The 25860-nt window shown below is 40.6% G+C and overlaps 1 long non-coding RNA gene across 3 annotated transcripts in view, besides 1 other annotated feature; it reads left to right on the top strand.

Annotated features, from left to right (window-relative positions):
- LOC105370507 (uncharacterized) overlaps positions 1–25860 on the top strand; it is a 144575-nt gene that overhangs the window by 8184 nt on the left and 110531 nt on the right. The gene's annotated exons all lie outside the window — the stretch shown is intronic.
- Positions 2086–2380: a silencer, noted in NCBI's record as "tiled region #14732; HepG2 Repressive non-DNase unmatched - State 7:EnhWF". NCBI's record gives its function as "represses a minimal TATA promoter and a strong SV40 promoter by Sharpr-MPRA in HepG2 cells {active_cell/tissue: HepG2}" and the evidence as "EXISTENCE:reporter gene assay evidence [ECO:0000049][PMID:27701403]".

The following is a 25860-nucleotide window of genomic DNA, read 5'->3' as shown; positions in this document are numbered from 1 at the left end:
CGGTTACAAAGCTGCCAGACCCCATCCCCGTGGGTGGAAATGGACACCAGCCCCCGAGGAAGTGATGGCTGCACTTGGGCGTCTGCTACCGCTGCTGCTTCCTCTCCTTCATAAGGAAGGAAACCGTGGGCTTTCCTGGGCATTTTTCTTATTCCCTTACACAGGGGAACTGGAGAGTCTTGGCCTTTGGAGTTTGAATAGTGAATCTAAGGCTGGAGGGGTTTCCAGAGAGCAGACAATTCCCATCTCTGAACTGTTGCTACTTTCTTCTTCCACCCCCCTTCCTGTGCTGTACAATTCATTCTATCTCCAGACTTTTAGTGTATAGTGTTAGAATGTCTTAATGGAGAGCCTGGAGCTGAAAGGCCCTGTACAACTTCTAGGTGGAGAAACCTAAATGGAAGGAAGGACTTGTGCCACTGTGATTTCCTCCTGCAAATGAAATGTAATTTGTACAAATAATCAAACTCTTCTTTTTTCTTTACCAGATTTGCACACCATATATTCAATGACAAGTCCTCTTGAAAGGTGATGGGAAGTGTTATTAAATTCCAAATATCTACTCCTCATCTGATAAAGCCATTCTGATGTTTGCAGTATGAATTTGATTTGCAGTTAGAATTCCCCACATTGAATACAAATCCCAAACAGCAAATTCAGCTCTGAATCTCTGGAAAATAGCATGTAATGGGTGGATCGATCCAACTAGAGTGTAAATTTGAGGTGCCGTGTGCTTTATCTGAGCATTAACAATTTATTCAGACCATTTTGTGTCCCATTTCCCACCCAAGCAAGTTGAGAACACTACATTTGCTTTTTACTTTTTTCCCTTCATGTTATGACACAAAATCGTTTCTCCAGTTTCAATTACTTTGATGATTGCAGCAGCAATGATTAAGAGAAAATACATCTTTGAAAGGGGCAGAAATATGGTAAGCCTTTCCCACTGATGGTAGCTAAAAAGCATATACTAAACAACTACAGAATACCCAGCACATTGATGGGTGCTGTGTGGTACAGAAAGAAGAAACAAGCCCCATAGGAGCTCACTGCAGACATATCTGAGTGAAGGAGTAAAGGGTTGGAGCTCAGGAAAGGGAAAAGCATATCATCATCTCATTGCTGGACTCTGATCCCTTAAAGCCCAAGTTGAGGAGGAAGTGGTCAGAAGAAAAGTGTATTTTTAGCCCCCTCCCATTTTAGAGACATTCTAAGATGGAGCTAGCAGGAGGAGAAGGATAGATATGGGATGGCAAACTGGTTTATTTGCAATAGGCTGGTTTTAATTCTCCACAGTAGTGAGTTTGAGGGCAATGCAATGCAAAGGACAACTTATTTATTTAATGTTAGGTTATAAGCAACCTTGAAGGCAAAAATCCTCCTCTTTTTGTCTTTTTATTTTTTTTTAACCCTCCATAGTATCCCGTCCAAAGGCAGCAGGTAAGTGGTAGGGTCCAGCCCTCAAAGAAGCTGATATTCTCCACCCACCTCCGTATACACTTGTAAGTTGAGAGCCAAATCCTCTGTCAGACACATTTTCCTTGTCAAATCATGCCCGTCCCACCTCACTGACACTGATAGTCCTGGGAGCCAATTCTGATGCCAACCTGTGTTGAACTCCTAGATGTGAGTGCACTTTCTTGAAGGGCAGGTTGGGCTAAAACTTGACCTTTGGGAGCTTTGAGAGGTGGGAAGAGGAGCAGAGGGCTGCCGGGGAGAGAGAGATTTCCTGGTTATTGCTATAGGGAGTCTGTTTACTTGCCTTCAAGGGTCACAGGCATCTGAATGGACTTCTCTGGCTCTGCTCTTGGGTTTGATTTCAGAGGACTTGGTCCTGTGGAATTCCACTCCCCATCGACCCTCCCCTTACTGTTAGGTATGGGACTTTTATTCCACAGTTATGACTCAAGCCTTCCTGAGGAGCACTGCAGCTTTCTTGCAGCAGCAGCAATTGGAAAGGCTGTTTTAAGTGGAGTTTACTGTTGTTGTATAAACCTTCATTTAAAATTGACTATAAAGTGTTTCTGAACCTGCCAAACACGCATTAAAATATTTTGCTCCATTTATGCCTATGTGTAACATTTGGTTTCTAAAAAGCTTTAATCAGTAATCTTCAAGTAGGAAGTTATTCATCTTTATTGCCAGTCGGTTCTCAGTGGTGGTCGTGGCAACAATCTTTTTATTGCTTCTGTGTTTAGTTGTTCTTTGACATGATAGAAGTCAGCCGCAGTTCAATGAGCTCACTATTTGTGCAACTTAATTGCTTGCTTCCTTCAATACATACTAAATTTTTCCTTTTATGAGCAGGGCTGTTGGAAAAATTAAGCTTAAGGATATAGCCATCCACTTTTAATTAACCTCCTTCCCAAACACATTAGTAAAATAGGTCAAATAACTGCTGAGTGCTAAGTGTACTGTTACTAAGGTCCTCCTCGGCTGAGAAGTGAATCCTGTATTAAGTGGACAAATATTGGAGCGTTGAGTATTTTCTGGAAGCCATGATGACATAAGAATAATGCTTTATAACAGTATTCTCTGCTGCACCATCTCCTCTAGGTTGTATGTATGGTTTGACTTTATCTGGCTCTACCATGGTTTTAGGTTATTTCGTTACATCTGTGTGAAATAAATAAAATATTTCTTTGGGTTTTGTTTTGTTTTTTGCTTTCTAGGTTATTGCTTCTTTTAAAGGGGGACCCAAAATTCAGCTTTTCCTTTTAGTAGTAACCCTGCTCTTATTTTGATTCACAATTCTTAGAATAATCTGGATATGTATAAATGCTTGTGATGAGTACAAAAATATGCTCAGTGAGGGAACTAATCTATCAAAATAGATTTATATAGAACTCTTATAATTCCTCTCCATGTCAGGGTTATATTCAGATGGAAAATCACTTTAATTGCAGCGGTGAAGGGCAGATTGGAGCTTTGCCAGCTTGACAGAAAATATTTTGAAGTTTATAGACCAAAAGAAAAAAAGAAAACGTGACAGTTTCCGAATTTGGCAGAAGGCAGGAAAATGTCAGGATATAGTTTATACTTTTAGAAAGGGGAACACAAAAGCAAAGACAATTAAAATGGGAGAATGTGCCAGATAGAGCTAAAGGTGAACATTTGTGATCTCTGTCCTCTATCTGCAGTTCCATGTTTAGCCTTTAAATGGGAGTGAGTGAAGAGTGAAGAGAAAAAGGAAACCCCCTCAACTGAATGCCAATAGACACAATAATTTCTTAAAAATGATTACTCAGTTATAATCTAATCTAAATCTTGCAGATTCATAGGTAGAGAATCTACGTTTCTCAAATAATCTGTTCTGATAAAATGACTACGTTTCTCAAATAACCTGTTCTGATAAAATGACTACGAGTTGGGTCAATACTTGTCCAGTGTATTTGTACCTCCTGACTTGGGTATATTTTCTGCATTAAGCTTAGTTATTGAGAAGCTTCTTGCAGCACCTTTTTTTCACTGTCGCATCAGAATGTCAGCGAATTGATGATATTCTGAACAGAATTGATGATGAAATGGTAAACTTTGTGGATCTTAGTTCGCCCACCTGCTAAAGAGGGGTAATGACCCTGTGCCAGTCTACACCCCAGGGGATTGTTAAAAAAGTTGATTAATCCTTGTCAGGAGTCTTAAGGCAAAAACATTTTCCCTGTGCCTTACTGTACCCCATCATGATGAGGCTTGCAGGAATGACTTCTTATTCGTTAGTTGTTAGTTATTTCTTTATATATATATATATTTTTTTTTTCGGAGTCTTGCTCTGTTGCCCAGGCTGGAGTGCAGTGGCACGATCTCAGCTCACTGCAACCTCAGTCTCCTGGGTTTAAGTGATTCTCTTGCCTCAGCCTCCCAAGCAGCTGGGATTACAATCACGCACCACCACACCTGGCTAATTTTTGTATTTTTCTGTAGAGACAGGGTTTCACCATGTTGGCCAGGCTGATCTCAAACTCCTGACCTCAAGTGATCCGCCCACCTCGGCCTCCCAAAGTGCTGGGATTACAGGCATGAGCCACCGCGTCCGGCTAGTTGTGGGTTCTAAAGGTTATTCTCTCTTATCTTTTGCCTGGTTAAGGCCTAAGATGCGAATGGCGATTGTTGACACATGGGAAATAGTTGAACCATCTGAAAGGTTAAGTATGGGAAGGGAGCACTGCATTTTCACATGCCTGCAGATGCTCTGGTGCCTGTCATTTCTGTGCTGGTCCACAGACTTCAGGCTGGGGTGGAGAGGGAGACTGTAACTTTTGGTGAAGGAAGAGCTGCTATGAATCAAAGTCAAGGGACTGAGTTAATGCTTTATTCCTGTCTAAACAATTAAGATGGCAAATTTCATACCTTTGGAAAGTTGAAAATACTTGTCTAAGAAAAGAAAAAAAAAGTGGAAGTCTAGGATTGACAGGTACGAGGAAATAAAGGATTTTGGAAACTTTCTGAGGCATTTAGTCTTGGTAATCATTTTTTTTTTGTATTCTTACACAGAGCCCTATTGCCAAGCTGCCTGAGGCAAATTTGCATGTGTTAGGTTTAACTCAGGCAACTTAGGTTTGCCTTTAAAATAGCCAAAACTTTGCCTCAGCATATGTTGGGTCATGTTAACCCTTCATGAATTGACATTTTGCTCATTTCATGGATTTGTCCACTATGGCTGTGGCTTTTCTAGCAGTCATTGGTAGACTTTAATTAAACAAATCCCGGAGGGAGACCTTGGAGCCACAAAAATACTTTCTACAACCAGCAGGTGGCACTGTGGATACTACAGTGGTGAAGAAACTGGGATATAGGAGGCAAAGATGAAAGCGGGGAGAACTCGGATAATGAGATAATATAAGCTAGTCTACAGATCTTTGAGAGGTTAACAGGGCATCTCAGAAAGCTATAAACCAGTCTCTGAATGTGGAAGGCTGCCATGGATTTGCCTTATAAGAACATTTCTCTGATTTTTAAAGTCTTTCCAGTGATACAATTGATATCTGCTTAAATTCTACTTATATGCTACTGCCCTGAGTTGAAAAACAAACTTGAACAGAAGATTTTTAGGTAATTTTAGAAATAAACATTTACACATATTCTAAAACCATAGCATGTAAAATAGGAACTCAAGCCTGGTGTATATAAAGTATTAAAAATTACATTTCATGCTTAGAGAATATTATTCACTAAGGAAACATGTTAATTTGATTTATTTTATTATATTAAAGAGATAGTAAGGACATTTTCTTGACCTGCATTAGCTTCTGCATTCTTTGTTGTCTATGATTCTCTTTAAGAATTTATTTGAAAGAGACTTCTGTAAATCAACTTTTATAACATACTTTTTGGGGTAAAGTTTGCTTCTTTGGAAGTTCATGTAGTGATTTATCTAGGTAATCAAATTGAATTCAGAGGTGGCAACGATTATTTACTTCCAAGTGAAATCTTCTTGAGATAGTAGGAATTGTCCATACTACCAGGGTTCTTTTGTGAGGGTTGGTGCTTTTTTCTTTTTTCCTGAGACATCAGAAGAAAACTTCTTTTGTAGCTTAGACCAGAGGCAGAGGCAGGTCCTGAGAAGGAAATGTAATTCCTCTCAATAAACATTTCCTAAGCTAAGGCCTCTTGGGAACACTGGCCTTTCTGCAGAAATGTGGACTTCTCTCCCTGACAAATTTATGCTCTCTGGGGGCAGATGTTTGAGCTACTTTTCCTCTCTGCCTCCAGCGGTAGAAAACAATTGTGTCCCTATGCTGGTGGAGTCCATTGTTCCAGAGGAAAGCTGAGGGGTTTGTGAATATGTGGAGGACTGCTGTAGAAATCAGTAATAGATTGATTATCGCATCCTACCTGAGGGCAAGGAACTGGGGATGGAAGTGGGAAGAGGAACAACAAAGCTAGATTTAGGATAAGGTGGCAGAACTTGAGATCTGACAGTGGCAGGTCAGAGTCTTAGGGGCCAGTTATAGTGACCTTAGACTCTTGCCCAAGTTCAGAACCTTACATGTTCTAGCCTGCCCGGTCTGGTGGGAGCTGAGGCAGCCATCTGGCTGAGTTGCTGAGGGAGGATGCTGTGAGTGGTCTCTCCACGTGACTGGAAAGTTTGACCAACTGAGGGGACCCAGGAATGGAAACCAGTTTACTGTATATTCAGAAACAGGGATATTTCTGATTCACCAGGGCAGGCCTCTCTCCTATTTCTTGGAACAGATTCCCTTCTTCTGAGTCTGGAGCCTGGGCAGTGCTTGAGCAGCAACAAGGAGCATAAGTTTCCTGTCACTTCCTCTTTGGCAGGTTGTGTCTGCAGACACTGGCTCCCATACCCCATAATTACTTTTTCACATTTTTTAATATAGTAACACATGGTTGGGCTTGTGGTGGGGGAACCAAGTGATGCCTCCAGGCCATGAACACTATAAATAACTTCAGGGATCATTTTATACGGTTAGGGAAGGAAGCAGCTTCTTTCTTAAGAAATAGCTTCAAGCAAAGAAGCAGGATTTAGGAACAAATAACTTTTATTTTCAAGAGCCCCTTTGCCTTTTCTATTTCTCTACAGATCAGCGATCTTATTGGTATTAATTTGTCTTCTCACCAGCCTTTCTTATACCACTTTTCAGCTTAGAGTGGTGATTGTAGCCATCTCGTCATATAGAGAAAAGTACATACATTTTGTTTATGAATGTGCAACTTTGAGCTTTGAGCTATCAAGTCCATTTTCCAAGGTTTGCTTATGACTCTGAATTCCCTAACAGGCACCCATGTACAAGCATATGTGTTGACTGAAGACCCATGTTATTTAAAGGGACTTCAATAAGAAATCTAGAAATAGTTCCTCATGCCTCTGACCATATTTTTAAACCACCTAAGGCAGCCCAATCTTAGAGTTTCCTGGGAATAGTTATTTAGGACATTTGTTGCAGGGACTCATGTTTAACAATCTTCATTGTCAGGAAGTTCTTCGTTTTATATAAATTTCCAATGTATTTAAAATGTTTTGCTTCTTTATTCAGTAGAGGTTGACAACAGCTTATTATGATTAGCTTTCAATAACTACCTTTTATGTGTTTCAATGGCCTAGTTTCTAAACTTGTACATAATTTAATAATTAACACCTAAATAAGAACAACACTACTTTCAATTTAATAAAAGCCTAATAGAAAAGTATCTGTAGCAAAAATATTCCAAAAACACTTTCTAGGTTTCACTAGAGTCTGTATGCTTTTGCTTGACCCATGTTTGTACAAATTTGATCCTCACAGTTCATTTCTAAAGCAGAGCAAGTAGTCTGGATTATCTTTGCATTATATGTAATATTGCTCTATAATATATTTACATTATAGGTAGGCAAAGACACTAGCCCAATGACAGAGATACAAAAAGGACCACAACTGTCCTAGGCATTAGAATATGTTTCTCTCTTAGTGACATTAATTCACTGAAATAAAACTATATCGATAGGCAAATGGGTTCATTTTACTCCTTGCATCTTGCATAAGTGTTGCATAATCATCTGGGACCAGGGACAAAAACTGCAGTGATAGGCAAGTCTGCGGGACTGGGCAGGAGCAAATGGGACAGATGCCCAGGAGGGATATATGGGGAAAATCAAAATCTATAGTCCTTAGTCGCTCTGGACTAATATTTGCCAAGCTCACAGGGTACCTGGCACTGTGCTCTGGATTTCCAATATAAATTTCTTCTCTTGCAGAAGGAGCTATCATTTTACTTCTCTCCTAAAAATGTGTTCTTGTAGACAGTGGTGGTTCCTTCATCAGAGGGCTTGACCTATAATGTCTCTGGCTTGTGTGCACCTAATGCTGTGGTGTTTGCATGACTGAGGAGTCACAAAGAAATTGCGGTTGAATGTCATTTCCAACAAATAATACTGTTTGATGATTTTATTTTAAAGACTTCTTGAGTGCTGAGAATCTGGTACAGCATATGTTTTGATGTGGTGCAGTGACAGCCACAATATCTGTCAAAAGGAACTATGAGAGATTAAATAGCAGAGTGCTTTTCTCTCATGATGTAGATGTAGCAGTACTTGCGAAGGAAAAAGCTTGTATTGTTTCTTGGACCCATCCCCTACACTCCTACACCGACCCTGTGAGATTAAGTAAGCTGGCAGCAGAACTGCAAGTTCTTGTTAACCATACATGCCCCAAGGCCCTAACACAAACAATCCCTATTATAAAATAAGACCTTTACAAATAATATTTTCAGAAAATACTTGTATTTGTTTTCTGCCATGCTGCATTTTTTGAGATGGTTACATGCTTACCTTAGGGAATGGCATGTCGCCAAAGCTAGAGGTCTGCCTGCTGAAGTTTCAATAGTGCTCATTATGAAGGAGAAGAAGTTTCTATTCCTACCCCTGGAAGGAAAAAGCCACTCACAGATAAAGTGTATGATATGATTACCATTGCTTTAGATAACCACAAGTAGTACTTCCGACATGATAAGGGATCGTTTTCTGTCTTGATCGTACAGAGCTTAGCTCAGCCTTTTTAAGCATTGGTGGCATTTTTGAAGGCCACTTGATTAGTTTGGATCCTGAGGGAGCATGAAGTTGCCATGCAGATAAAAATCAACACTGGTTTCAGCTACTGCAGCAATTGCAGTGATAGTAGGGGGTCCTTTGGAAGAGGTTTGGAATCGGGACGAAAGGCCCTAGTGACTTTGGCAGAGTTATTTAAAGGTCTTGTGACTAAACACCAAGCATATCAGGAACTCTGAGACAGTTCCTTTTCTTGTGCTGGCTTCATTATGATTAAGCTCATTGGGAGAGCTAGAATCCCTTAGCTCCTCAGAAGGGTATATCAATGAGGCAGATTCTCTTTAAAATAGACAGGAGGGTTAGCCATCAATATCTGATTTGCTGGAGAGGATATGAACAGGGAAATTACAGAGATAATGAGAATTTAATGAGTTAAATTGTAGAAAGGAAATTAAGGGCCCATCGTGACAATCGGTCTGCTATAAAAGCCCAAGTCCTATTGTATGAACCTTTTACTATCCTCGTGGTAAAACCAGGGATAACACTCTAAGATGAGGAATATTGTAATTGGCAAAAATAAGAAATGGTAGTTACTCCTTCCTGATACTTTGACAAGTAGTTAATAAATGGATTGTTGACTACCACATAAAATCCAGAGGGGGGATATCAGAGTGGAATTGGAGGATTTAAAATAAGGTCAAAGGCTGGGATAGTGTTTGCATGCATGTTTGTATGTATGCATATGTAGTCCAAAAGAAAAATTCTAATTCATGATTATAATTTGAACATTTAGTCTTTCCCTAGAAGCTTCTGAAAGATCAAAAGAGGTCAGATGTACAGAACAGACTTCTTAAAATGTAATGGGATGAATGTTGTGATGCTTTTTGTACTTTGAGGCTGGCAGGTAACAGCAGGGACCAGTATTAGAAAAAAAGAACAAGAGATTTATTTTCTCCAAATTTTCCACCCCTGTTCCTATGGTAGCTGATGCTACCACCCTGTGGAATTGCATTTTTATGACCTCCTGGTGCTACCATTGCTGGATGAGTTGGAGATGGATGGGGGCTATCTTGTGTATCTGAACACTTATCCTGGCTCAGTTTTAATACCCCACATGGCACTCAAAGTTATAGTTCTTGAAGAAAATTTCTATGTTTTGAATGGTAATAGAGAAAAGCTATCTATCCCCTTAATTTGCTATCTTCAATTTTCATTCCTTCATGAGAGATGTAATAAGTCTGGGAATTTCCCTCTTTGCTAGGTGGGGATGTGATTACCCAACTGTTGGCAGGGTGCTTGGGATTATCCAGATGGAAATGCTATTTAAGGGCTAGGTATTAGGGTTTTGCCTTTTAAAAATTAAAATATCCCCAAATGAGCTTTATTTGTGTTTCCTTTAAAGTCCTTGTTACAGGAAGTTGCCAGGGGAGGAAATGTAGCTCAGAGGTTTCTGGGACCAGCCATGGCTCTTGGGATGGATCAGAGGCAGAGTCACCAGTCAGGGGCTTGGCCAACAGAGCTGCTATGTACCTTTTCCCATTTTTAGCCCTCCATTTGGTTCCCAGAACTAAAAGACCCTTTCTATCTGTCACATGGGAGACTCTCTGACCTTAGGAAATCGAGATGTCATGCCCTGTGGGATGTGGCTGCCTACGTGCCTTGATGAGCTGGGTGAAGCCCTCATGCAATTAGTCTTACTAGGCAGCTTTCAAGTGCTTTATAAGTTACATTTCATCTATGTGTTTTTAAAAAGGGGTCTTTTAAAAAGGGACATCATTCTTGTCACTTTCCATTCTTTAAATTTCAGCTCTTGGGTTTGTCTCAGTGAGAAGCAGATTCCCATCTTTTTTTGCGGGGGAGGAGTTCGAGAGCTCACCCTACTCCAGGGTTACAGCAGATTTGCTGTTGTTGCTGTTGCTGCTTTCTTTTCAAAGTACCATAGGTCACATGATGACTTCCAGGCCCAAATGGGGAGATGATGTGGATAAAAGTATTTAGCAAGAGATCAAAAACTGGGCTGCACTTCTAAATGGCTTGCCTTTTAGAAAAAAACACATTAGCCTTTCACCCAGATGTTGTTGTGGGTAACTGTCAATACGGTGCACAGGTGGCACAGTTGTCTTGCCATTTACTGCCTGATGCCTCGGCAACTGCTGCCAGCCCTTCAGAAATAGGAAATGACTAATGATGTGGTGGAAATTATGAACCAGGATTAATAAAACTTGAAAAGGAACAGTCTTTCAGTGTTTGATCCTCCTTAGAGGAAGTTAAATCTGAATCCTAGATTGTTTTCCCTGAGGTGTTCTTCTGACTTTTTCTGATTACTCGGCTGTAGTGGGGGTCTATGCTACAGCTAGGAACAGTGAACCAGATGGTGCAGGAAGCAAAGTGCTGCTCCCATCCCTGAAGGTACAGACACATGTCCTGTTCTGCAGCCCATCTGTGAAGAATCCAGTTAAAGGAGCCACAAGCACAGAACAAATATTTAACTTCTAAAAGTTGAGATTTAGCATGAAGAACATTCTGGAAAGATTTCATTCACTGTCTGAGTGATTTCTATGCTTCCTCATTAAGGACAATTGTTGGGGTCTCAATAGATTTCAGGGAGTTGACATTTTTCTTTTTAATTTTGGAATCAAAATTTATTTTCCTTAAGGCCCATGCCAAGCATTCTTTCACAATTCTGTGGGCCTGTCCTCTAGCCCTCTTTCTTGTTCCTCTCACATTCTCAGGCTCCTCTTTTCCTCTTGGGAAAATGCTATGTAGCCAAAGGGATAAATGCACATTTGTTTTATAGATGAAGAAGGCAGTATAAGGTATAATGGGAAAAAAAAGCCAGACTCTGAATAAGGAGACTTCAGTTCTAGGCCCTTTTCAATAGTGTAATCTCTGGGAAACCCCTCCAAGCTCTGTGAGTCCAAAGGTATCACTTCTATGATGATGGGTCTTAACTGGGTATCTGCTAAGTTCTCTTCCTGCTCATTATAGCACATGTGTGTGGTGTATGTGATATTTTCTCTGAGGTAGTCTCAATTCCCTTGTCTTAAAGTATTGTGGTCTGCCCAGGAACCTGTCCGGTCAGTTCCTGATGAGGAGCATCATGGGCAGGTAGGGAGCAGTCGTGAAACATGACCAGTTACTGCAGCAGAGTATTGACACTTAGGTGATTCGTGTTGTTATAAGGCTTAATATTGCTGCAGATTAGCCGGTTAAGAAAAAGCCAGGAAGTATTTCTAAGGCCTCTAAAGTCAAAGTATCTCCTGAATTTGCTCATTAAGATCAACTAGGCCACAAAAGAATCAAACTAAACTGTTCATCTAAAGTTTTTGGTGAATTAAAGCAACTCTGTATTTCAAGCTAGTTCAGAATTGCCAGAGCATCTCTATGTGTCTGGGCATGTGTGGTGAGCCTGAGCACATGTGTATGAGAAAATATGTCTGTGTGTGTGCTTGGGTGAGAAATAAAAGAGACAGTAAAGCAGGTGGCTGGTTTACACAAATTTACGCAAGAAGTTGGAACTAAGAAATGAAGTCTGAAAGACACTACATAGCATATGATCTTGCTCTGTTCATTCAGTGTATCCTTCCGACCTGCTTAAGGCTTTATAAAATCCTTACTGCAAGTAACAATAGCTAACATTTATTGAGTACTTACTATATGCCAGGCAATCTTATCATGAGGTACTTAAACCTTTCTGTGTTTCTGTTTTCAATCTATAAAATAGGGATAATCATAAAATCTACTTCCTAGGATTGTTGTAAGGATCAAATGGGTTGGTATGAGTAAAAAACTTAGGGTTGTGAACAAAGATGAACTGAGTTGAAGTAGGAAAATCTCAGACACAGCCTGGCATGTGCTATGTGCTCAGTAGGTAGTAGTTATTATTATCATCCCCATTTTATGCCAAGGACAGTAGAAACTTATAGAAGTTCAGTATCATCCCTCAACTTCACAGCTGGAAGTAGTTAAATTCTGGAGCCCAACTCTGGAGTCTGAACCCTCTCCCTTCCTGTTTTGGACCTTCATCAGGATTACTGCCCCTTATAACTGAGCTTCACCAAGCTAATGCTAGTAGGATTCTTGAGGGCTCTTGGAAAACACATTCCTTCAGGACCTAGTCCTCGGAATATGGATTAAAAACACTTTGTCTGGCTCCATAGTTTTCCTAAGACCTTTGTCTTATGACACCCTAGGACTGCAGTGGACCTGTGGCACTTGTCTGTCTTCATTCAGGTCCTTGAGCCAGCTCTGAGAGAAAGGTTGTGTGTTTAAAATAAGACCTTTAAGCTTCTTTTGGCTTTTGCTCCCAACTTTGCGTTCCTGTCCATCGGCTTTGTACAATAATGAAAACAAATGCTTTAAAGCAAGATTTAATGTAGTTAAACATGAAATAAATGTACTCTTTATTAACTACTATTAAAATAAAGAGTACATTTTCCTCTTGCCTTGTTATCTTAGCTATTCCATTACAAAATAAGAGGGTTAAGAAAAATCTGGTAGAACAGAAATCGAGAGCCCAAATGTCAGTGAAAATACATTTCATTTAACAAATACTTCAGTTTGTTCTCTAAAGGCTGAGCCTTTCCAAGTGGATGGACCTACAGGAGTTTCCTCAAGTGGACAGTCCTATACTTGGCTCCTGGGAACCTAGACATGATGCTAAGGCTTCTTCCATTGATCACAGCAATGAGAGATGGGAAGAGAGCAAGGGTAGGTCTCTGAGTGTCCCTTTATTGTGTGCTGACATTGCTGTGGAGGCAGATGGGGCCTCATATGGCAGCTCAGAAGAGGAGGCAAGACCCTCTCCAGAGCTGAAGTGGAACCACCCCTAAGGCAAAGGGTGAGGAGGGGAAAGTGCTAGGCAGAGGAAATTGCACTGTGCGATAAAGCCTTCCTTTTCTCCCTTGCCTCTTCTCCCCAGGAAGTCCTGAGAAATTTTTCTCAGAGGAAATGGAGTGAAATGAACTCTGAGGGCAGCCTTGCAAGGGAAAGGTTGTACAGGAACAGGACAGAAGAGGGAACTTGGATGGTGTTGAGTCATTGTAGACAGTCAGACCTTAGCCTTATGCACTGCTGGATGTGTGTGCGCGAACCACAGGTCTTCTTCAGGACCTGCTGGCAAGGCTACCTCTAGTTCTCCTGTGCCAAGAGTTCTGATTCCTTCAGCAGCCTTGAATCCAGCTCTGGGCACAATTGGCCCCAACTGCTGAAACTTTTGCCCAGTTCTGTGCTGAAGCTTTGCACTACTCTGGCTCTATGCGCGGGTGCCTGTCTGTCTTGCTCTTGGTTCTGGCATTCTGCTTCAGCACTTGGCTAAAAGGCCAGCCACTGGCTTTGTGGAGCTGGACTTGCAGTGGCCCTTGATTGCTGCTCTGCAAAGGTTTTCTTTCTTCCTTTTTACATTGTTGTCTTCAGGCTGGCACTTGAAGGAGCCCAACAGGCCATTACAGTCACACAGTCAAACAAAGATCTTTTAAGAGAACAATTGTCATTTGTTTCCCAGTTGGCATTTCTGGAGATTTAGCAGGATAATCTTGGATGTACGTCAGCAAGCATGAGCAGGAATCATCTTAATCCTTAACATGGCATACAAATGAATTGGGACCACGTGAAAAGTGTACAAAGAATTTCTCTTTCTTCTTTCTCCTCCTGAATTCCAGCTGTAGGGGCTTGTATAATTTTTGTTGGGGGAGGAGGCGTTTCCTTTTGACACAGTAACCTGATGCAGAGATGGAACTCCCTAGGGTTTCAGCTTTGGGGATCCTCTGGCCACTCTGTGTATTCTAGTACACTCTTTATTCCTGAAGAGAGTTGCTACCCCAACTCCCCGTCACATGCAGATCCCTTGAAGTCTTAGCTGGGAAACATGCTTGGACTCTTCCAGTCATTCTTTTAAAGTCCTGACTTGAGTAAGCCTCAAAGAGACAACTACTGAATTCCTGATTCCATTTGATTTTACAAAGGCAAATGAGCTCCCCACATAAAAGGACCTCCAGCTGTTTCCTCTAGGAAAGGAGAGAGAACAGCAAGGATGTCCAAGAGTCTCTCCTCCACAGTTGCTTCCTCCTCGAGCATCTACCAGTTATGTCATACCTGTCTGAGGAGACAGAAGGGGCAGAAGGAGAGGTATTTGTTGCCTCCTCTGCCTGCAAAGTGAGGCTCCGTGATGCCTGTGATACGAGCAGGACCCTCCTTGAGGAGTTGAGGAAGTTAGGCAGGAAAGGGAGGGAGTATGTAGAGCCAGCACTTTTGTCTCAACAGTGCAAGAATTGTTGGGAACTTTTATTTTTCTTGCTTGTTGTATGATCCACTGTGCTTGTTGTTATTGTTATACCAGTTTCATTTATATGGAAATTTTTGATTTAACTGGCACTCTCCAGGATTTTTTCTCCACATATTTAGACAAATTAATTTTAACAAATAATATAAGTTTTTAGTGATTCTTTCTTCCAATTAATTATTCTTCGAAGATTTACTTTTTTCTTTTTGCAAAGAATTAAATGAACATTATATATGAGCATTTATAGATTAGAAAAATCTATGATGTAATCATTGTTTAATTCTGAGGTTGAAATCACCATAGGTTTTCACTGTAGATTCTGTGGACCCCCAGCCTATGGATTCTGTCAGATGGCAAATCTATGGTATTTTCTGTGGATGAAAATCCTAGACAGAGACTCCTGGTTTTGTCATTCTCTCCCTATATTATTGAGTAGAAAGTGAAAAATCCTATAAGCTACATCTTTTATATTTTCCTCTAACTCTTCTCAACCCCTAGTTACAACTTCTAGTATTCCTAATATTAGTTGAAAAAAGAAGTGATCTCACAGCTTTTTTTTCCTAAACGTTAATTTAATCACCAGTTATCACTTTGACATTGAGGAAACTTTTACTGACTGTTTCCAATTAGCTATAATAACTTATGTGATTTTTACTTCATCTTTTGACCACTCTATCTAACCAGGATCACCTAGAATTTTAGAGCTGGAAGGCACTTTAGCATCTAGTCCTAGGATGTCAAATGTGGTTCAGTTTGTTTGCTGGCTATGATCTGTTGGTCAAGACTGGCTGTCTAGAGTGCTTTCTGGAGAATAACTCTGAGGCTGGGTCTGGCTTAGGGGAAAAGACTTCTATGACCAGCTGGTAGTATGGGAAGAGTCATAGAACTGGTGATATCTATCTGATCTTCTTAGTTCTGATTAAATGCTCTTATTTTATGGTTGTGGACACTAAAGTCTGGAGCAATAAAGTGACTTTTCCAAGATCATCCAGTAAGTTAATAGAAAAGCAACGACTTGAGCCTGCTGTGATGGGGATTTTCAGTAAACACAGAGGAGCAATCTTCTACCTTTTTTTTACTCTCCCCAGTCTTGTTCCAAGGGAACTAAGAAAAAAAATGATAGATATTAAGCATAAGGACAAATAATACAGTGAATGAGATATTAACAGATGGGAAACATTGGAAATATAGGAAATAGGTAGAGTGCTTCATCTAGTGGCTCATGCCTACAAGCCCAGCACTTTGGGAGGCCGAGGGGGGAGGATCACTTGAGGCCAGGAGTTTGAGACCAGCCTGGACAGCATAGCAAAACCCTGTCTCTACAAGAAATTTTTTAAAAATTAGCCAGGCATGGTGGCAGGTACCTGTAGTACTAGATACTTGAGAGGCTGAAGGTGGAGGATCACTTGAGCTGGGGAGTTCCAGGTTGTAATGAGCTGTGATTGCACTACTATACTCTGCCTGGGAGACAGAAAAAAAGGAAAAGTAAAATAAGTAGAGAAAGTATGTTGTAATAAATAATAAATCTGGTCATTGTCCCCACTCCGGTCACACAGCTTCAAAAGTACTTGGAATTTTCCTGATAGGTATGTTATGTTAATGAGGTGGCTCGTTATGGGTTCCTAGATAGCTTAATGATGTAGGCTGATCATCAGAAAGACCAAGCACAGAATTAGAGGGTTGGAACTTTCAGCTAGCCCAGCCTCCAGGGAGGGGAGAGGAGCTGGAGATTGAGTTTAGCTACATGGCCAATGATGAAATCAACCATACTTACCTAATGAAACCCTGAAAAACTTGGCATACTGAGGTTTGGAGGAGCTTCCCTGTTGTTAAACACATTGTTGTGCTGGGAGTGTGACATGCCCTGACTCCAAGTGGAGATGGCATAGACACTATATCTGGGACCCTCCCAGACCTTACCTTATATGTGTCCTTTATAATAGACCTATAATTGTTAAGTGTAGTGGTTTTAGTGAGTTCTGTGAGTCATTCTAGTGAATTACCAAACCTGATGGGAAGTTGTAGAAACCCCCCAATTTGTAGTCAGCTGGTCAGAGGTGTGGGAGGTCTAAGGACTTCATTGGTGGCTGGCACCTGAAGTAGAGCTTAGTGTGGAGCACTAAGAATCTAATGTTACTCCAGGTAGGTGTTACTCCAGGTTAAGTGTGTCAGAATAGAATTGCAGTTCACCCAGTTAGGGTGTAAATGGAAAAGAAGGTATAGACTGAGGGGAAAATCAATTAAAAGTGAACAAGTGTGTCCTAGAGAACCTCTGCAACGCTGTCCTTGAGGCACCAGGAGCCTCAGAAAGGAAGGCAGTGTGGGGCTGAGCATAGGGATTGGACCTCCTCCATATCCCTTTTCTTCCCATCATTCAGGTAGCCAGGCTTCTTCTCCCCACAACATGAGACCCAGGGTTCTCTGGAGAAAATGATTTGGTAGGTTTCTAGATGTGCAGTTACTGATGCCATTGGAGGGTGAGGTATGGGATTGAAAACTGGCATTAAATACATTGAAAAGTCTATATACTGAATTTTGGGGTCCTTAGTCCTCATGTTTATTCTACTCACAGAAGACCTGAAGCTAAGCTTATAATGGCACTCTCCACAATTTCTAACCTCAAGGCGAGTATGGAGACTCTTCTGTGGAGAGACTGTAACAACTCTAGGAGTAAGACCTTCCAATACTGATATATGGTGACTTCCCAACACAAAGATGAGCTCACTTCTTGGTCAACATGAAATGAAACCCACCGAATGACAAACCCCATTCACCTTCTCAGCTTTTTAGTCCTTCAGTCTTAAACATGAATGGACAACCAAGAGTCACCAGATGTTTGGGAAAAGAGGCCAACATCAGAGAGAGAGAGAGAGAGAGAGAGAGAAGTGGGTGGGGAGGGGGGGGAAGACAGAGACCAAACAAACAAACAAACAAATGAGAACCTGGAAGAAGAATCAGAATAAGAAACAAAATACAACTTCAAAAAACCCCTCAACCCTAAACTTTAATACCCCCAGAAAGATAAGACAATATTATAAGAAAAAAAGAGAGAGAGAGAGAGAATAAGACACTTACTAGCTATGTGACCTGGGACAAGTTATTAACATCTCTGGATCACTTACCAAATAGAATAACAATAGTATCTTCCTTTGTTGAAGATTAAATGAAGTAATATATATAAAGCACTCAGACAATGCCTGGCTTATAAGTGCTATTATTATTGGTAGTACTATTATTAGTTATTAAGTGCTGTTATTAAGAGAAGGCTGTTGGAAATAAAAAAATATATAAAATTGATATAGAATGGTTGACAGGTAGAATTGAGTAGATCTCTTAGAAAGCAGAACAAAAATACAAAGAAATGGAACATAGAAGAGAGAAGATAGAATTGAAGGCTTAATTCAGGATATCAAGCATAGGACTTCTGTAAGTTCCATAGAGAACAGAAAAAACAAATGAGATGAGATTATTACATAAATAACAGAAGATGTCATAGGATGGAAAGTCACAAATTTCTACATTGAAAGAGCCCTCTTAGGAGGGTACTAGAGGCAGTTGCTTAGCAAAACAAGGGAGTAACTAAGAAAGAGAAACCTAAGAGAGAGAGGTAATGGGCTCTTTAGTAAGGGACATCTAGGATGACAGCTATGAAGTAAGCCAAGAGAACAAGAGAACCAAAATGAATCTGGAGAGCAGAACTCTAGGTAGAGGCAAGGGGTGGGGAATAGAACTGGGAGTATGTTTGTGCATTTGGAAAAAAAATGACAGATCGGTTTGAGCAAAATTAGTAATAAGTACAAGGAAAACTGAGCAGATAAAAATAAAGCAAATGTTAATTCTAGGAAAAACAAAAATAACAAAACAACAAAGTAAACCACAAGACTCAGCAGTGAAAAATGCTTAGTAGGTATAAAAATATAAATGTAGGGCTGGGCACAGTGGCTCACACCTGTAGTCCCAGCACTTTGGGAGGCCAAGGCAGGCGGATCACCTGAAGTCAGGAGTTCGAGACCAGCCTGGCCAACATGGTGAAGCCCTGTCTCTACTAAAAATACAAAAGTTAGCTGGGCATGGTGGTGGGTGCCTGTAATCCCAGCTACTGGGGAGGCTGAGGCAGGAGAATCACTTGAACTTGGGAGGCGGAGGTTGCAGTGAGCTAAGATCACACCACTACACTCCAGCCTGGGTGACAGAGCGAGAGTCTGTCTCAAAAAAAAAAAAAAAAAAAAAAATATATATATATATATATATATAAACATAGAAGATTGATTAACTGAACATTCTGAGGAAACCATATTGGGAGGATAAGTTGAGAGAAAATGGGAGTGTTAGTGGTAGAAGAGGGCTAAATTCTCATTGACCACTTTAAGAAAATGATTGTTAATGCCTAAAATGCACAAATCAAAAAATGTCAGCATAAGCCTTTTATTTAGATGTGCTGTTGAACTTCTGCTTCTAGCTAAGAAGTAGTAACAGAGATCACATGTATCCTCCTGCTAAAACAATAAAAATAACCTGGGCACCATATGTGAAAAAGCATATTTCAAAATATTGAGACCCAGGCAAACAGGGACAATTATGTCTGAGATACAGGTATCAAATGAGATGAGCCCTATATTTGCCCCAGATTGCTGCCTTGAGATAAATCTGAGATCATGGTGCAGGGAGCAGGAATGCAGGTAGAGCCTGGTGGACTCTTGAGTTGAGAAAATGGAGCTGGGGAGGGAGACCAGGGTGGCTGGAGTTCTCAGGGAAGGGTACCAGAGGGAAAAAAGTTCACCAAATGAGAGCTCCAGAGATCTGCAGAGGTTCCCTCAAGTCAGCTGGGTGCTGATCAGTATTTGCATGTTGAGAAAATGAACCACAGTTAGGGAAAGGATCATCAGGAAGGATTAGAGGGAATGATTAAGAGCTCATGTTCAAAAAGGTAGAAGGAAAATTCAGCATGTTAGAGACATGGAAGATATACCCAAATTGAGGTATAGATGAAAACTGCTAAATCTGAGATGAAAAATGCACCCAAACGGATTAACAGAAGATTACACATCACTGAAGAAAAGATGAATAAACCTGAAGAGATAATGATCAAAACCATCCAAAATAAACACAGAGAAAAAAGACTTAAAACAGAAAGCATCTGTGAGCTATGGGTTGACTTCAAGCAGACGCATATAGGTGTAATTGTTGTCTCTGAGGGTTGGGGGAGAAAAATATGTGAAGATGTAATGATAAAATTTTTCTGATTTGGATGAAAACTATAAACCCACAGATTTAAGAAGTGCAACAAACCCCAAGCACAAGAAGCATGAAAATAAACTACACCAAGGCATAATCAAGATGTGTAAAATCTGCGATAAAGGGAAAGTTTTAAAAATATGGACTAAAGTACCAAAAGAAGCCATAAAAACAGCTAAAAGTGGTTGTCTGTGGGGAGATGGATGCTGGGATAGGGAAGGAGAGAGTGGGGAGTACTGCTGTTCTTCATTATAAACCTTTTAGTACTATTAACAGTTTTTAAAACGTGTGCATATTATTTGAAAAAATAAAAGTAAAGAACAATGAACAAGAAAAAACATCCTGTGATTGAAATACCAACAGTCAAGCTGAAGACAGAGATGCAGCCAGAGGCCTGAGGCATGTACCCATGAGCATCACTACTGCAGAATAGGGCACAAAATAGAACGGAGATTTTCACCAGCTGTTTGAGGAGTGAACAGTGTGAAATTCTCAATTCCAATTGTTGGTGGGCATCTTCCAGTACTGTCATAATTTCTTTTTTCTTCTGTCACCCTTCTCCAGGACCTTGAAGGGGGAATGGAGAGGTGGGGCACAGTTAAGTGTAGCAGTGGGGAGAGGTTTGAGGCCCTATCTTGGTAGTGATTCTGGGAGCACGGTTACTGAATAGAGGTTACAGAAGGAGTAACTGACAGAGCTGTTATTCTGGGTTTCTTTACATTTTTTGTTTAGATGGTGTCAATTGTCTCTAAATGTTCTCTTGGGCTCAAGACTTGCCCTCCCATACTCCATCCTTCAGATTGATCTTTATGAAATGAATCTAATCATGTCATTCCCCTACTTTAGTTCTATTGTCTTTAGACAGGTCTGTACTGTATAGTCAGCCTTGTTTCTCATTTCCCATGCCTTCCCACTGGACTCTTTGATCCAACCTCGTTGAGCTATTTGCAGCACCATCATTGTTCCCAGCCTTTTGAGACTTTGCTTTGCACAGCTGTTCCCTCTTCATGGAAGGTCCTCCCCTCAGCAATCTCTCCATACCCATCTTCTTTACCTTACTAATATGACTTTCAAGTAGTATAGTGTGTTCCCGTAATAACCTATGTTTACTTCATGCATGATTCTTAGGTTTTATTGTCAGTTTATATCACTGTACCTCTAAGTGGGGTCTATTGGAGTCACTTAGGTATTTGGTAAGCGTTAACTTTTCTAGGTGCCACTTTGCATGTACAAATATGAATCTTTAGGGGAGGGTACTGTAGGCATCTTCATTCTAACAGCACCTTAGTTATTTGGCGGGTACAGTAAAATTAGAGAACAACTGGTTTATATGAAAGCATGAACCTTACCTTTTTATCACCAGAGCCTGCCACAGTGACTGGCATAGAGAGGGTTCCCAGTAAATATGTAATGAATAAATGAGCAGGGTATTGAATGAATGGTGTGGGGCATAGAAAGAGAGAGAATGTTGTCAGGGAATGTGAATGATGTACCTGGAGTCTATGATGGGTAGCTGTGGGAAGTAAGGGCAGATCCGTGATTTTACTTCTCCGAATGCCAGAGTGAGGAGTTTGAAATAAACTCCTTAGGAAATAGGGATCCTCTAAAACAATACTTTAAATGTGATGTTTAAGGAAAACTGTCCAGAAATGGCATTTAGTGGATTTGGGTTGAGAGAGGCTGAAAGCAGGGATGCCAGGATAGGGCAGGCAGGTAGAAGTGGTGCAGACTTAGTTTCTGGTAGGAGCAGCGACTTTTTGAGGAACAAACATCTACACTTTGGCAGCTGATTTTATCTTGGTAATGAAGGCAGAGATGAAATTCAAGAGCAGTCCAAGATTTGAACCCCATATGTCCAAGAAAAATAGTGGGTTCCATGGCAGGAACATGAACATTGGGAGGGGAACTCATGAAAGCGGAGACTGTGAGTTCCATTTGGGACTGTTGAGTTTGGGAAGCTATGGGTCAAAGGGCTGTCTGAACGCTCTGCAACCATTCATGGGAAAAACATTATTGAGTGCCAAAGAAATAGTGCCTTTATCTTTGAGACATATATAGCCTGGTGGAGAAGAAAGAAAAAATAAGCTGTAAAATTACTATAACTGAATAAATGTGTATAATATAGATACAGAGTTTGGGGGAATAGAAGAGGGACTGACTGAAGAATACTGAAAAGACTTTGTAGAGGAACTTTGATTTGGTCCTTGAAGAATAGTTAGAACCTTACCTGAAGGAGAAGAGAAGAAATGGCATTCCAAGGCTAGGGAACAGAATGAGCAAAGCAGGGTGAGAGGGCAGGATGGATTTGGTGACATATTTGTTTTGTGTTGTTGGAACTCAGGTTATAAGTGGATAGAATGCTGGAAGATAAGATGAAACCCTAGATTGAAGACAGTTAATAGGAAAAGCTTTAAGCCAAGCAAAAGAGTTTGGATTTTTTCCTGTGAATGATAGAGTGGAGGTGTCTAAGCAGGATACACCATTACTAGGTTTTATCATTGAATGAATATAGATTGTTCTACTAGCAGAGTGGAGGCTAGATTGAGTGGGGGCTGGCTGGTTGCTAGAAAAAATGGTTGAGTGTTGTTGCAGTAGTCTAAGAGGGTAGTAATGATCTCTGGCCATGGCAGTGGTAATGGAGATGTAGAGGCTGCATTTGGTGAACAATTGGAAAGAATTGGAGCATGGGGAAAGAAAAGGGGAACCAAAGATAACTCTCAGGTTTCTCGCTCTGGAGTTTGGGTTGATACCTTTTTCTGTGACAAATGGATAGGAAAAGTCCTAAAACTCCCATTACCTCAGAATGTGATTTTATTTAGAGATAGGGTCTTTAAAGAGGAGATCTGTTAGGGTGGGGCTCTATTCCAGTATGACTGGTGTTCTTTTTAGAGGAGTAAGAGGCACCAGATGTGTGCATGCACTGTGAAAAGGCTCTGTGAGGACACAGTGAGAAGGTGATCACCTGCAACCCAAGGAGAGGGGCCTCAGGAAAAGCCAAACCTGCCAACTCCTTAATCTTGAAATTCCAGTCTCTAGAACTGTGAGAAATAAATTTCTGCTGTTTAAGCCACCTAGGCTGTGGTATTCTGTTATAGCAACTGTAGCAGACTAACAGACATGCTGAGTCTGAAATGCCTTGAGATGCCTTGGTGGAGATGATGTGTAGGCTATTGGATATAGGGAGCTTAGACTAGAAAAAAAAAGATTGAAGTTTGAAAGTCATCAATAGATGATTAAAACAGACCATTTTACTCTTGTGAAATCTGACTGTGCAAGGAGTTCTCAAGTAGAAAAGAATCTTGGGGAGAAGAGATTTGAGCCCATAGCTGGAGGAAGGGACTGAAGAGACAGAAGAGAGTACATGTATGATAGTTGCTGGAAAGGGCAGGAGATGGTGGTCTCTAGAGCAGAGATGAAGTGTTAGCTTTTGTGAAGATGGGGGAGCAGTAAGACAAGGGTTGGGGCTACTGTGCATAATTTCAGAGGTCAAGGTAAGAAAGCTCGAGAGATCAGATTTAGATGTCACTGATGAAAGACAGCTGATTTGGGGTGATAGAAACAAGTGCTTCTATTAAACATGCAACCACAGAGAGTTTGATTTTCTGTCTGTCCTTTCTAGCCATTAAGAGCTATGTCTTAACGGAGTTAGCATTTTTACAGCATTTAAAAAATTTATTTTGAAACTTACATCTATATGCATAAATACAATTTAAAATATGTATATAAATGTGAGCATTACTTCTGCCCTGTAACAGTAATAACCTGGCTTATAATTTACCATATTTTTTCTGTATGCTTGTTCAGTCAAATGAAAATATACATACATTACTTGGAACAGAATAGAGAGGTGAGAAATAAGTCTGCATACCTACAACCATCTGATCTTCGACAAAGCTGACAAAACCAAGCAATAGGGAAAGGACTCCCTATTTGATAAATGGTGTTGGGATAACTGGCTAGCCATATGCAGAAGATTGAAATCGGACTCCTTTCTTATGTATACAAAAATCAACTCAAGGTGGATTAAAGACTTAAATGTAAAACCCAAAACTATAAAAACCCTGGAAGACAACATAGGCAATACCTTTCTGGATAGAGGAATGGACAAGATTTCATGACAAAGACATCAAAAGCAATTGAAACAAAAGCAAAAATTGACAAATCAGATGTAATTAAGCTTAAGAGCTTCTACACAGCAAAAGAAACTATTAACAGAGTAAACAGACAACCTACAGAATGGGAGAAAACATTTGCAAACTATGCCTCTGACAAAGGCCTAATATCTAGCATCTATAAGGAACATAAACTTACAAGAAAAAAAAATACATTAAAAAGTGGGTAAGTGAGGCCGGATGCAGCGGCTCACACTTGTAATCCCAGCACTTTGGGAGGCTGAGGCAAGTGGATCACTTGAGCTCAGAAGTTTGAGATCAGCCTGGGCAACATGGCGATACCCTGTCTCTACTCAGAATTTGAAAAAAAAAAAAATGGCGTGATGGTGTGCGCCTGTAGTCTCAGCTACCTGGGAGGTTGAGGTAGGAGGATCAGTTGAACCCAGGGACAGAGGCTTCAGTGAGCTGAGATTGTGCCATTGCACTCCAGCCTAGGTGACAGAGCAACACCCTGTCTCAAAAAAAAAAAAAAAAAGGTGGGAGCAAATAACATGAACAGACAGCTTTCGAAAGAAGACATACATGCAGCCAACAGGCATATGAAAAAAAGCTCAACATCATTGATCATTAGAGAAATGCAAATCAAAACCGCAATGAGGTACTATCTCACATCAGTCAGAATAGCTATTACTAAAAAGTCAAAAATAACAGATGGCAAGGTAGTGGAGAAAAGGGAATGCTTATACACTGTTGGTGGGAGTGTAAATTAGTTTACCCGTTGTGGAAGACTGTGGTGATTTCTCAAAGACCTAAAGACAGAACTATTATTCAACTCAGCAGTCTCATTACTGAGTATATACCTAAAGGAATATAAATTATTCTACTATAAAGACACATGCACGTGAATGTTCATTGTGCACTATTTACAGTAGCAAAGACGTGGAATCAACCTAAATGCCCATCAGTGGTAGACTAGATAAAGAAAATGTGCAGCCGGGTGCGGTGATTCACGCCTGTAATCCCAGCACTTTGAGAAGCTGGGGTGGGTGGATCACCTGAGATCAGGAGTTCAAAACTAACCTGGCCAATGTGGTGAAACCCCATCGCTGATAAAAACACAAAAATTAGTAGGGTGTGGTGGTGGGCGTCTGTAATCCCAGCTACTTGGGTGGCTGAGGCAGGAGAATCACTTGAACCTGGGAGGTGGAGGTTGCAGTGAGCCAAGATCACACCACTGCACTCCAGCCTGGGTGACAGAATGAGACTCCATCTCAAGAAAAAAAAAAAAAAAAGAAAAAATGTGTACATATATACTATGGAATACTATGCAACCATAAAAAAGGATGAGAACATGTCCTTTATGGGCACACAGATGGAGCTGGAAGCCATTATCCTTGGCAAACTAACGCAGGAACCAGAAAACCGAATGCTGCATGTTCTCACTTATAAGTGGGAGCTAAATGATGAGAACTCATGGACAAAAAAGGGAACAACAGACACTGGGGCCCACTTGAGGGTGGCGGGTGAGAGAAGGGAGAGAATCAGCAAAAAAATAACTAATGGATACTAGGCTTAGTAAGTTGGTGACGAAATAATCTGTACAACAAACCCCCATGACACAAGATTACCTATATAATAAACCTGCACATGCACCCCGGAGCCTAAAAGTTTTTTAAGAAATAAAATATACATACATTACAAAGATATACCACACACACACACACACACACACACACACACACACACACACA

This window comes from Homo sapiens, chromosome 14 (genome assembly GCF_000001405.40).
Source record: "Homo sapiens chromosome 14, GRCh38.p14 Primary Assembly".
NCBI classification, from domain to species: domain Eukaryota; kingdom Metazoa; phylum Chordata; class Mammalia; order Primates; family Hominidae; genus Homo; species Homo sapiens.
This window is presented reverse-complemented; position numbering and strand designations above follow the sequence as displayed.